General features: G+C 46.9%; 1 long non-coding RNA gene across 1 annotated transcript in view, besides 3 other annotated features; it reads right to left on the bottom strand.

The window, feature by feature from the left end:
* The window catches only part of LOC101927200 (uncharacterized), a 91,977-nt gene that overhangs the window by 56,191 nt on the left and 22,420 nt on the right, over nt 1-13,366 (bottom strand). The gene's annotated exons all lie outside the window — the stretch shown is intronic.
* Nucleotides 12,203-12,282: an enhancer, noted in NCBI's record as "active region_17912". NCBI's record gives its function as "activates an Ori minimal core promoter by ATAC-STARR-seq in GM12878 lymphoblastoid cells {active_cell/tissue: GM12878}" and the evidence as "EXISTENCE:reporter gene assay evidence [ECO:0000049][PMID:35858748]".
* Nucleotides 12,783-12,852: an enhancer, noted in NCBI's record as "active region_17911". NCBI's record gives its function as "activates an Ori minimal core promoter by ATAC-STARR-seq in GM12878 lymphoblastoid cells {active_cell/tissue: GM12878}" and the evidence as "EXISTENCE:reporter gene assay evidence [ECO:0000049][PMID:35858748]".
* Nucleotides 13,043-13,242: an enhancer, noted in NCBI's record as "active region_17910". NCBI's record gives its function as "activates an Ori minimal core promoter by ATAC-STARR-seq in GM12878 lymphoblastoid cells {active_cell/tissue: GM12878}" and the evidence as "EXISTENCE:reporter gene assay evidence [ECO:0000049][PMID:35858748]".

Raw genomic sequence — 13,366 nt, 5'->3', positions numbered from 1 at the left:
CACCTAGGTTGTGGTGCAGTGCCACTATCACGGCTCAGAGAAGCCTCAACCTCCTGGGCTCAAGCAATCCTCCCACCTCAGCCTCCAAGTATCTGGGACTACAAGTGCGTGCCACCGTGCCTAGCCAATTTTTTTTTTATTTTTAGTAGAGACAAGTCTTGCTGTGTTGCTCAGCCTCGTCTTGAGCTCCTGAGCTCAAGCAATCTTCCTGCCTTAGCCTCCCAAAGTGCTGGGATTACAGGCATGAGCCACCACACTGGCTGTTATTTAATTTTTAATTGACAAATAATAATTGTATGTATTTATGGGGTACAATGTGATGTTTTGATATATGTATACATTGTAGAATAATCAAATAAGGGTATTAAACTGGCATATCCATCACCTCATATATTAACCATTTCTTTGTGGTATGAACACTTAAAATCCTCTTTTGGCTATTTTGAAATATACAATATTTCAAAATTCACCTCCCTGCTGCATTATTTCTATCTGTTCTATTTTACAACAAAAATGGCAAACCCCCATAACCAATATCCTGACCTCTAATATCACAGATGACTTGTGCCTGTTTTGCGATTTCTATGAATGAAACTGGACGGTAAGTGCCCTTTTGTGCCTGCTTCTTCCTGTCATTAGAATGATTTTGAGGCTCATCCATGTTGTTGCATGTCGTTGACCATCATTCATTTCCCTGCCAATAGCGGCTAATTTTTCATGAGCATTTACTATGTGCTCTGTAAACTCATTTAATCCTCCCAACACTCTAATATGAAAGCAGTATTAAAAGTGATTTGCCTAGACCAGCCAGGCACTGTCTGTAACCCCAGCACTTTGGAAGGCCAAGGCAGGGAGATCACTTGAGGTCAGGAGTTCAAGACCAGCCTAGCCAACATGGTGAAAGCCCACCTCTCCTAAAAATACAAAAAGTAGCTGGGTGTGATGGTGCGTGCCTGTAGTCCCAACTACTTGGGAGGATGAGGTACAATAATCACTTGAACCCAGGAGGTCAGGATTGCAGTGAGCCAAGACCGCATCACTGCACTCCAGCCTGGGTGACAGAGTGAGACTCTGTCTTTAAAAAAATAAAAATAAAAAAGCCAAGCGTGGTGGCTCTCGCCTATAATCCCAGCACTTTGGGGGGCCGAGGCGGGCGGATCACAAGGTCAAGAAATTGAGACCATCCTGGCCAATATGGTGAAATCCCATCTCTACTAAAAATACAAAAAAAGTAGCTGGCCATGGTGGCTCACGCCTGTAGTTCCAGCTATTCAGGAGGCTGAGGCAGGAGAATCACTAGAACCTGGGAGACAGAGGTGGCAGTGAGCTGAGATTGTGGTATTGCACTCCAGCCTGGGCAAAAGAGGGAGACTCTTTGCCTAGAGCCCTGCAAACAGGGAGCAGAGAATTGAACCCAGAACTTTATGATCCCAAAGCTCCTGCTTGGTTGTTGGTAAGCTCTTTCCTGGGTGACTCAAGGCTATGGCTAAGAACGGTCAGTGGCTGCGCTAGGCCAGAGTAGAGCGCTCTGTGCTCTGACATTGAGCGGCCCCAGCATGCCATCCTGGCCTCGTGTAATTGCTTTGATATTTCTCCAGTTCCTGACCTCACTGACAGGCTTCCAGCTACTCCCTCCTGCTGGTGTCCATGTGCCTACCAACAGCCATGCCATCAACTCTCACTTTACTAAAAATAGTGGAGTTATTAGACTTGTGTACAAAACAAAAGAAAATGGCCATGAGCAAGTGCCTGCCTGTGCATGTGATTACGGGTGACGAGGTCCATGGTAGTTTGCTTCCTGAGTCCAGGCAGAAGTGTGTAGTTAGGTCAAGTGCCACTCTGGTGAGCTTAGGAAACTTCTCCCTTTGTAACTACCAGGTTAGGGGCTTGAGAGCTTCGGCCTTGTAGTATTTCTGTAGTTAGTGATGATGGTCAGTACAAACAAGGTAGCTGAAGTCACATGAGTCCCGAAATCCCATTGGACAAGGCAGCAAGGAGAAGGCCAGGTGCAGTGGCTCACGCCTGTAATCCAACATCTTGGGGGGCCAACTCAGGAGGATCACTAGAGACAGGAGTTTAAGACCAGCCTGGGCAACATAGCAAGACCCTGTCTCTACCAAAAAACAAAAATAAAAATTAGCAGGTGACCGGAGTGGGAAGATTACTTGAGCCCAGAAGTGAGTTTGAGATTACAGTCAGCTACAATTGTGCCACTGCAATCCAGCCTGGGAGACAGAGCGTGACCCTGTCTCTAGAAAAAGAAAAAAGAAGCCAGGAGCAGGACAAACACAGAAGCCCTTTGCTGCTCTCAGTTCTGAGGCAGAAACGAGTGCCGAATGGTATCTGAGAGGGACTGGTTTCTTGTCCCATGGCAGAGCTAGGGTCTGCAATCCCAAGCTTTCATGGTCTGTTCCCACTCTACTCTTCTGGAAGGTCCCCTCTCATCCCCTCATGCCCCAAGGTCTGCCATGCATTTACCACATTTGGGGCCTGTGCAGGGAGCTGGGGATGCTTAGCACAAAAAGGACAAGGCCCAGACAGCGGCATCCCCCACAGCCTCCTGCCCCTCTGCTAAGCATCCCTGGAGCACTGCCCAGGTCTGGGTAGCACAGTCTCGCTTGAGTCCCATCCGGCCTGTCCACCCCTCCGTCCAAGCACCACTCACTCTACTGAGCACTTGTTGGCTCTCAAATTTTTTTAATGAAAGACTAAATCTTCTCCCCATTCTCCTTACTGCTCTTGGAAGAAACCAATTTTGTGTCTCTTGACCAAAACATTCCTAATTACCTATATTAATGTCTGTTCTCTGCATTCTCTCCTGAGCCAGTTTTTAACATCTTACTGGTCCCTTCATTAATTAATGAGCTTAAAAATCTTTGGCACACATTTGAAAAAAAAAAAAAAGAGAGTGAATCTACGCCTTTGGAACTTTTGTCATGAGCGTGTGCACCCCGCCTTCCTGGGTTTCACACTCCCCTAGACCCAGGGCCTGATACCAGAGAGAGCCTCTCTTCATGAATAAGGACAGCTCCTTGCTTGTTTTCTGACACTTTTTGCAGCAGCTCCGATGACTGTGCTGTAAAAAGCCACTCCACCCTGGGCCCAGAGCGTACGTTTGGCAACTGTGTTCCTTTAATGGATGCACACGTGTCTATTGTGAGTACAAACATAATGGTCTCCATGGAGATATGGTCACAATGACTAATTAGACAAAAGACAGTGTATCTCAAGCCTTGAAAGACATCATGGATGTCATAAACGAACATCGTCTTATTCGGTTGCTGTATTCCTTCTCATTTCTCCCTAGAAACGTCAATACGTGGTCCCTAGCAACATGACCTTATTATGAAGTCACAGTTTTGTTTTGTTTTTTTTTTTTGAGAAGGAGTTTTGCTCTTGTCATCCAGGCTGGAGTGCAATGGCACAATCTTGGCTCACTGCAACCTCCGTCTCCTGGGTTCAAGCCATTCTCCTGCATCAGCCTCCCATGTAGCTGGGACTACAGGCGTGCACCACCGTGCCTGGCTAATTTTTGTATTTTTAGTAGAGACGGGGTTTCACCATGTTGGCCAGGCTGGTCTCAAACTCTTGACCTCAGGTGATCCACCCGCTTCAGCCTCCCAAAGTGCTGGAATTACAGATGTGAGCCACCACGCCCGGCCTGAAGTCATACTCTTTAGCCACCTGGTCAGAACATTTCAGATCCTCAACTGCAGGATTCCAATCCTGGCACACATTCCCAAGGCAGCCATGGGGCACTCATTCATGGCTGGCATTTCCTGACTGGGCTGTCCAACTACAGCCCTGCCTGCTCCGTCTTATGATGGCTGCTAAGGGGACCAGGGATGCTCCAAGCTACGGGGCCCTCACAGCTCCTTCCATCGCACCAGCCTGACTCAGCCATCAGCTGCCCCACTGGGCTCACCCCAATACTGATTTGTTTCAGGATGCCAGATGGGATTTTTCTTATTGTGCCCCTCCCCAACAAGGCTGGGGCAATGAGTATTAAATATCCTGCGTTCTGGTTTTGGTTTTTGTTTTTGAGACGCAGTCTCACTCTGTTGCCCAGGCTAGAGTGCAGTGGCACCATCTTGAATCACTGCAACCTCTGCCTCCTGGGTTCAAGTGATTCTCATGCCTCAGCCTCCTGAGTAGCTGGGACTACAGGTGCCCACCACCATGCCCAGCTAATTTTTGTATTTTTAATAGAGATGGGGTTTCACCGTTTTGGCCAGGATGGTCTCAAACTCCTGACCTCAAGTGATCCTCCCGCCTCAGCCTCCCACTGTGCTGGGATTACAGGCGTGAGCCATCACCCCGCGTCTGAGTTTTTGTGTTTTAAGGGACAAGGCCTTGCTCTGTCATCCAGGATGGAGAGCAGTGGCACAATCACAACTCACTGCAGCCTCAAATTCCTGGGGCTCAAGCAACCTTCCCGCCTCAGCCTCCCAAGTAGCTGGGATTACAGGTGTGTGCTACCATGCCCAGCTGACTATCCCACATTCTAAAGGGAAGCTATCTTTCTCCCCAGGGAAGTGCAATCCTAGCACATTTTCACACCCTCAGAAGTGAGAACATATTTCTTCCAGAAATATGCACTGCCCCAATATGCTTTTCCACTTTCCTACCCCTCATCCCACCATGATCCCAGGCTAAAGGAAAAATGTTAAGAACAAAAAATATCTGGACCTCAAACTATGGCAAAATCTATCTCAGACACACTGAGAAATGAGTCCAAGTTCACACTGTATAACAGCAAAAAGAATATTTGAACAGAAATGCCCACACACAAGTAAGAAACTGATGGAAACTATGCACACACACTCCCACCAAAACCCCCAAGAAAAAAAGCACCCAAAAGACAAAGAATCCAGCCTAGAAGGAGATATAACCCCAAAACTGGAAGAAAACTTCACATAGGTGCTCTCTGCTATAAAACGACAGAACAAGAACAGGAATTTGGTAAAACAAACTTTCAAAGATCAGTTGATTAAACAACAGAATGACACACAAAAGAGAGACCTAAGGAAACAAATTGAAATCAAATAACATTACAGAAGTCCCAAATTAATGATAAATGTCAAAATCAGAAGAGACCCTGCTGAAAATGGAATTATGAATAGACAGATAATAGATATTAAGAAAAACAAAGATATGAAAGCAATCAGAGCCAGGTGTGGTGGCTCACACCTGTAATCCCAGCACTTTGGGAGGCCGCGGCAGATGGATCACTTGAGGTCAGGAGTTCCAGACCAGCCTGGCCAACAGGGTGAAATCCCATCTCTACTAAAAATACAAATATTAGCTGGTCATGTTGGTGCACACCTATAGTCCCAGCTACTCGAGAGGCTGAGGCAGGAGAATTGCTTGAACCTGGGAGGCGGAGGTTGTGCTGAGCCGAGATTGTGCCACTACACTCCAGCCTGGCAACAGAGCAAGACTCTGACTCAAAAAAAAAAAAAAAAAAGATGTCATCAAAATTTGGAAGATTAAAAAGTGAATGAATGATTGGTAATTGGCCCAGCAAATGAGAGAAAGTTAAGTCCTATGTGTGCCTGCAGGGTGAAGAACCTGAGAACAGAAAATCTATTTGAGCCACAAAACTCTGCATCAACCAGAATCCCTCTGAAAGGTGGGGTGCAAGAGCGGCTGAAAACAGAAGTGGCTGAGAGTCTGTTTGATGAGCATTTAGAACCCAGACCCACTTTTATGAGCCTGCATAGTCAGGTAATGGTGCTCCCCACCCCCAGCAGGTGGGAAATTTACTCCCTGCAGACGTTGAAGCCAGAGACTTGAAAAGGAACACCACACACAGCCAATAATAGGCATGAGATACTGTGATGAAAACATTAGAATTAAGATTTACATTGCTTCCCCTTCACCTTCTGCCATGATTGTAAGTTTCTACGGGCTCCCCTGCCATGCAGAACTGTGAGTCTATTAAAACTCTTTTGTTTATAAATTACCCAGTCTCAGGTAGTATCTTTTTTTTTTTTGAGACAGAGTCTCACTCTGTCACCCAGGCTGGAGTGCAGTGGCGTGATCTTGGCTAACTGCAACCTCCGCCTCCCAGGTTCAAGCGATTCTCCTGCCTCAGCCTCCTGTGTAGCTGGGATTACAGGAGCGCACCATCACACCCAGCTAATTTTTGTATTTATAGTAGAGATGGGGTTTCACCATGTTGGTCAGACTGGTCTCAAACTCCTGACCTCATGATCCACCTGCCTTGGCTTCCCAAAGTGCTGGGATTACAGGTGCCCAGCCTTCGGGTAGTATGTTTATAGCAGTGTGAGAATGGACTGATACAGATTATCTTCTAATTATGTGATTCTCTGGAAAAGGCAAATCTACAGGTACAGAAGGCAGATCAGTGATTGCCAGGGTCCAAGTGAGGAAGGAGGAGCCCATCAGGGGCAGAGACTGTTGGGGATGATGGAGCCACTCCACATCTTGATGGACACATGGCTAAGCTTATTCAGAACTCAGAGCACTAAGTGCGCACATCTGTGAAGGGTGCACGAGAAAAGGACAGGAATGGTGATATGGTTTGGCTGCGTCCCCACCCAAATCTCATCTTGAATCATAGCTCCCATAATTCCCATGTGTTGTGGGAGGGACCTGGTAGGAGGTAATTGAATCATCGGAGTGAGTCTTTCCCGTGCTAGTCTCATGATAGTGAATAAGTCTCATAAGATCTGATGGTTTTATAACGGGGAGTTTCCCTGCACAATTTCTGTTCTCTTGTCTGCCACCATGTGAGATCTGCCTTTCACCTTCTGCCATGATTGTGAGGCCTCCCCAGCCACATGGAACTGTGAGTCCATTAAACCTTTTTTTATTTTTATTTTTTTTGTAAATTGCACAGTCTCAGGTATGTTTTTATCAGCAGCATGAAAATGGACTAATACAAATGGAAAACTTGGTTACAGACTTTTCATAGAATATGCCTGTCTTCTGATTTAATGATGAACAAATTCACATTACTCTCAAAAATCCTATCATTGGATTAATTTAAGTATTTTATCTGAGAAGAATACCATTGTTAATTGTGCTTATAATAAAATACAAAGATTTGAAAAAACTATGTAACTCCAATCGCAATGTTTTTCCTAATCTCTTGTTAAATTTAGAGGGATCTTGACCAGGCATGATGGCTCATGCCTGTAATCCCAGCACTTTGGGAGGCCAAGGCAGGTGGATCACTGGAGGTCAGGAGTTCAAGACCAGCCTGGCCAACATGGGGAAACCCCGTCTCTACTAAAAATACAAAAATTAGCTGGGCATGGTGGTATGCACCTGTAATCCCAACTACTCGGTAGGCTGAAGCAGAAGAATCACTTGAACCCGGGAGGCAGAAGTTGCAGTGAGCTGAGATCGCACCATTGCACTCCAGCCTGGGCAAAAATAGTGAAACTCCATCTCAAAAAAAGAAAAAAAAAAAAAACTTAGAGGGATCTTTTAGGAACCAATTCCATTGGTGATAATGTAATATTTATTTAAGATTCAGATTCCTTTGGTTTTGTTTCCTTGTCTTCTGTTTATGTTAAGTAAAATTACCTCTAATAACTTTTACTTTCAAAAGTATCCCATTTTATAAAAGTAGGCCTGTCTATCTCTCCATCTAGAGACTCCACATAGAAACATAGCTTGAATGATGGTTTTGCAGGGAGGAAACCTGGGATGTCCTTTGTTTTATCTATTGTAGCTTTTCTAAATGTTTTGCCTTTCAAGGCATCTGAGCTTTTTTTTTTTTTTTTTTTTTTTTTGAGACAGAGTCTGGCTCTGTTGCTCAGGCTGGAGTGCAGTGGTGCGATCTCGGCTCACTGCAACCTCTGCCACTTGGGCTCAAGTGATCCTCCCACCTCAGCCTCCTGGGTAGCTGGGACAACCGGTGAGTTCTACCATGCCTAGCTAATTTTTTTGTTTGGGTTGTTTTTTTTTTTTTTTTTTTTGTAGAGATGGGGTTTTGCCATGTTGTCCAGGCTGGTCTTGAACTCCTGTCTCAAGCAATCCACCCACCTTGGCCTCCGAAAGTACTGGGATTACAAGCATGAGCCACCACTATGCCCAGCCTTCATCTGTGCTATTTTTATGAAAACAGTAAGTCCTTCCCTGACCCCACTGCAGCTGGAGTCACAGCTCTCTCCTCTCTCTTACCCATGTCCCTCTTCCTACCCCAGAGCTGTTGCCACACTTATCCCCACCCTTTTCTGGATTCCAGTCTTGAGGGACAAGGGTTCTGTCTTGCTCCTCCCCATACCCATGGAGTGCCCTAGTGCACACAGTAGGTCCTCAACACATACAGCTCAAATAAAGGAGACCACATGCCAAGGAGAGAAACCCATCATGAGTCTGCAAAGTTAAACATCTGAGTTTTCAATCCTGAACTGGGGTGATGGTCCTGCTGTCTACTTTCCCACAAAGTGAGAGAGAAATCAAGCGATAGGGAGAATGTGGCTAAAAGCCCTTCGCTCACAAGAATGCTGGGAGACCAAACACAGCCTCCGACATCTCACACCTAACATCTGATAAGATGTCTTTCCTCCTAGCAAGAGACTGAGCCTTAGACAGGAATCCAGGGGTTGGGATTCTAGAACCATGAGTACACAAAGTTGAGAACATGACGGAGCCACTGGAGCCGGGAGGACATCGAGGTTAAAGCAGAGATGGAGCAAATAAACCCACAAGATTCCTTGGCATTCTTGAGTTCACCATGAATCACTTGTAAGCTGTCCTCAAGGACTATGATTGGGATCATTCGTTATTTCACTGAGGGATGGGTTCAAATCGTGCACTGCAGAACTGGGGGCAGGTGCTGAAGCTGAGTCCCTTAGCCAGCGAGAGAGGCAGCCACCGCCAGGGCCTCTCAGCATGGTTCTGCTCCTCTCTCTTGGTCCTATGTGTCCCCAGCTACTCCCACAAAGTGATGAAACTTTGCTTTTTGTGAGAAAGGGCCCTAAAATAAATCCAACTGCTCATGTTGGTGATGGGACAGAAGAAGAAGTGAAGAAAGATTAAAGGCATCCAAAAAAATGATGATGTGGAACTACATACTGAAAAGCGATATCCAATTATCCTGAGGCTCAGATCCACCATTGGAATGCCTTCAATGTACACGCAACACAGAAACCGGAAAGTGTGACTCAGGAAACTGTCAGTGAGGCTCCTGCCATGAGCAAAGATACTTACCATAGAAAGCTCCGTTTATTCCTTTTGAGATGGAGTCTCACTCTGTTGCCCAGGCTGGAGTGCAGTGGTACGATCTTGGTTCACTGCAAGCTCCACCGCCCGAGTTCAAGCAATTTTCCCATCTCAGCCTCCCGAGTACCTGGTATTACAGGCGTGCCCCACTATGCCCAGCTAATTTTTGTATTTTTAGTAGAGACGAGGTTTCACCGTATTGTTCAGGCTGGTCTCAAACTCCTGACCTCAGGTGATCCACCTGACTCGGCCTCCCAAAGTGCTGGGGTTACAGGCGTGAGCCACCGTGCCCAACCTCAGTTTATTCCTTTATTGATCCTTCATTCAATTCAACCAATGTCACTGATGTGGTCAGGCACTAGGCTTGACTCTAAGGATGTAGCAGGGAGAGGAGCAGAGATGCGGCTTTTGTGGAGCTTATATTCTAGTGGGGAAAGAATCAACAAATACATGTCAGGAGGAGATATAATAAAATTAAGAGGGAAAAAGAATAAAGAGTGAAGGAAGTTGATATTTTATTGCAGGAAGCTGATATTTTAGGTAGAGTGGTCAAGAAGAGCCTCTCTGGGATGGAGAGAATGGAGCAGAAACCGGAAGGAGGGGAGAGAGGGAGACTCATGGGTATCTGGGGCAAGAGCTCTCCAGGTAGAGGGAAAAGCAAGTGCAAAAGCCACACAGCAGAAATGTGCCTGAAGGAATAGCGCGGAGGCCAGAGAGGCTGGAACGAAGTGAGCAAAAGCAGAACAGCAGGAGATGAGCCCAGAGAAGAACCAGGGCAGACCCAGTGAGGTCACGGAGGCCCTGGTAAGAACTTGGGCTTTGACTCCTGGTGGAAGGGAAACCATCGGAGGGCCTCGAGCAGAGACTTTGCCATCTGACTCAAGCCTTAACAGATCCCGCAGCATAGAGAGTCACCTACAAGGTGAGCAAGTTTGGAGGAGGAAAGGAGCGCGGAGGCTTCTGTTTCTGTCATAACCCACGTTGTTGGCTAGTGGCTTGAATAAAAGTGGCAAAGTGGAAGTGGTGAGAGGAGCTCCGATTTGGGATATCATTTGAAAAACCAGAGGCCGAGCTTGGTGGCGCACACCTCTAGTCCCAGCTACGTGAGAGGAAGATATTGTTTGGATCTGTGTCCCCGCCTAAATAGCATGTTGAATTGTAATCCCTGGGGTTGGAGGTGGGGCCTGGTGGGAGGTGACTAGATCATGAGGGTGGTCCTTCACAAATGGTTTAACGACATCCCCTTGGTACTGTTATTGTTGTGTGAGTGAGTGAGTTATTGCAAGATCTGGTTGTTTAAAAATGTGTAGCAGGCCGGGTGCGGTGGCTCACGCCTGTAATCCCAGCACTTTGGGAGGCCCAGGCAAGCAGATCACGAGGTCAGGAGATCAAGAACATCCTGGCTAACACGGTGAAACCCCGTCTCTACTACAAAAATACAAAAAATTAGCCGGGCGTGGTGGTGTGCGCCTGTAGTCCCAGCTACTTGGGAGGCTGAGGCAGGAGAATGGCGTGAACCCAGGAGGCGGAACTTGCAGTGAGCTGAGATCACGCCACTGCACTCCAGCCTGGGTGACAGAGCAAGACTCTGCCTCAAAAAAAAAAAAAAAAAAGAGTGTGTAGCAGTGCCCCATTTTCCACTCACTCCTACTCTGGCCATGCGATGCGTGTGCTTCTCCTTCACCTTCTACCATGACTGGAAGCTTTCTGAGGCCTCCTCAGAAGCCAAGCAGATGCCAGCATCTGTATTGCCTGCAGAATCATGTGGCAATTAAACCTCTTTTCTTTATAAATTACCCAGTCTCAGGTATTTCTTTACAGCAGTGCGAGAACAGATGAATACAGAGGATCTCTGGAGCCCAGGAGTTCGAGCCCAGGAGTAAGCCGTGGTCACACCACTGTACTCCAGCCTAGGCAACAGAGTAAGACCCTGTCTCTATAAAACTGTAATAATAATGATTTGAAAAATCATATTCATGTGTCTAGGGGATGGATCTTCAGATCCATCCCTAGAGGGTATCAAGGGTTGAGCAAGAACGTTTACTTGTGTCAAGCCATTTATATTTATTTTAGTGTAACTTAAAATTATGCCTTATATTCTTAAATACATTACTGATGATAATTAATGGTGGCTTATGTTCAATTTCAGTTCTGTTCTCATCTTGATAAGAATAACCAGTCAGGTGGCCAGGCACAGTGGCTCACGCCTGTAATCTCATCACTTTGGGAGGCCAAGGTGGGTGGATCACTTGAGGCCATGAGTTCAAGACCAGCCTGGCCAACATAGCAAAACCCCATCCCTACTAAAATGCAAAAGTTAGCTGGCACAGTGGTGCATGCCTGTAGTTCAAGCTACTCAGGAGGCTGAGGTGGGGGGATGGCTTGAGCCCAGGAGGCAGAGCAATCACACCACTGCACGGCAGCCTGGGCAACCGAGCTAGACCCTGTCTTAAGAAAAGAAAAGAAAAAAAAAGAATAACCAGTCAGGGCACTATAATCTCACATGGGTAACTGACCTGTAGCCAACCCCGCTATTTGGAGTGAAGTTCAGGTCCAGACACAAGCACTTACATACTTGATGTCAGACATCCAAGGCAGGCGGTAGACGTGGGATGCTCAGGAGGATACGCCCCATGTGGCATCTGATCAAGTCTGGCTTAGGTGTAAGGACAACGTTCAGGACAAAAACTATGCCTTTCCCATTTTACCATTGAAGATGTCTTAGACAACCAATAAAGTGGACGGTGTAGGACCACAGCCCTGCACAGCGACGTTCTTGCATCACTCGGCTCAACCACAGGAAGTCTCACACCACTGAGTCTGACCACAGGAACGGGCAAATGAAAAGTCATGCAGCTATATGGGCAATGGAACTTCCCTGCCTCCAGTTCCTGGCCAGGAAGTGGGGGCTGGGTGGAGAAATCTGGAAGCTGCCTGCTTACCTACCAGGTCTCCACTCTGTTTTGCTATGAAGCCTCTAAGCCTTGATACCTGTTAATGGATGTATTTGTTGTGAGAAATAAATGAGATGGTGGGGTCAGTTTCCAAAGTTAACGACAGTTTGAATCAAACAGGCTTGGGCACACATGCCACCTCTGCCCCTTGCTCCCTGTGTGGCCTTGGGAAAATTACTTAGACCCTCTGCCCCTCAGAGGTGGGAATAATGTGAGAAGGAAATGAGTGCCTGCACTTGGCCCTCAGAAAGCCCCAATCCACGTTCAGCCCTGATACCAGCTTCACGAATGTTCCCTTGTAAGTCCCAGAGACAGGACTTCCTGAAGGGTCCAGGTGCCTTCAGGCCCCCTTGGGTCTGTGAGTACTGGACCACATGCATCCCCAGATTAGACCTCAAGGACTTGGAATCCCCACATCGGGCCACAGTGGATTTATGCATCTCCAGACAGGACCAAGGGACTCACGCATCCCCAGATTAAACCACTGACCCACAGGGCAAGGAACTAGGGTGGTTTGTTCTCAGTGGAGTCTGGAGAAGGAGATTTCGAGTCGCTAGACTTCATTGGTGGGGGCAGCAAATGGGGAGTGAAATAAACCAACACTCTTGGGGAACTCTAAAATGCTCAAAAGGAAACTAAAACCCAGGAGCTGAAGGTAACATCCAAAGTCACACCACCAGCAAAGGCCATAGAACAACAAAACTAGAGAAGTTCTTGGAGAGCATCTGGTCTAGCCCTTCATTTTCCAGATGAGGAAACTAAGGCCCAAAGAAAGGAGGAAGTTAACCTAAGCCACATGGTCCACTTGTGGCAAAGCCATCCCTCAGACTCAGATCCCAGATTTGAGGTCTGGCGTCCCCTCAATTCCCCAACACCAGCACCCACGTTGCACACCCTTCACCATCTAGCAGAGATCTCCCCAGGGCTGCCATGAGCTGCCCCATGACACTCCAAGGAGCTGGTACGAAACATTTTGTTTTGCACCTTGCCTGTGGTGACAGCTGCGTTAAACCGAATGTTCACAGTCATTATGCTCAGAAACTGAGCAAGAGTTCCATCTATTGGGGTTTCAGAATGAATCAGATTTCCAAACTCTCCTCTCTCCACCTCAGCGCATGTCTGTATATGGTAACCTTTCAAAAGTGAGTCTAATAATTAGTCATCTTGGCCTAGTTCAAGACAACAGTATGTTCTCCAATTTCACTTTGTTT

Source organism: Homo sapiens, chromosome 20, assembly GCF_000001405.40.
Source record: "Homo sapiens chromosome 20, GRCh38.p14 Primary Assembly".
Classification (NCBI taxonomy): domain Eukaryota; kingdom Metazoa; phylum Chordata; class Mammalia; order Primates; family Hominidae; genus Homo; species Homo sapiens.
Note: the sequence above shows the minus strand (reverse complement) of the source record. Positions and strands in the feature narration are given on the sequence as shown.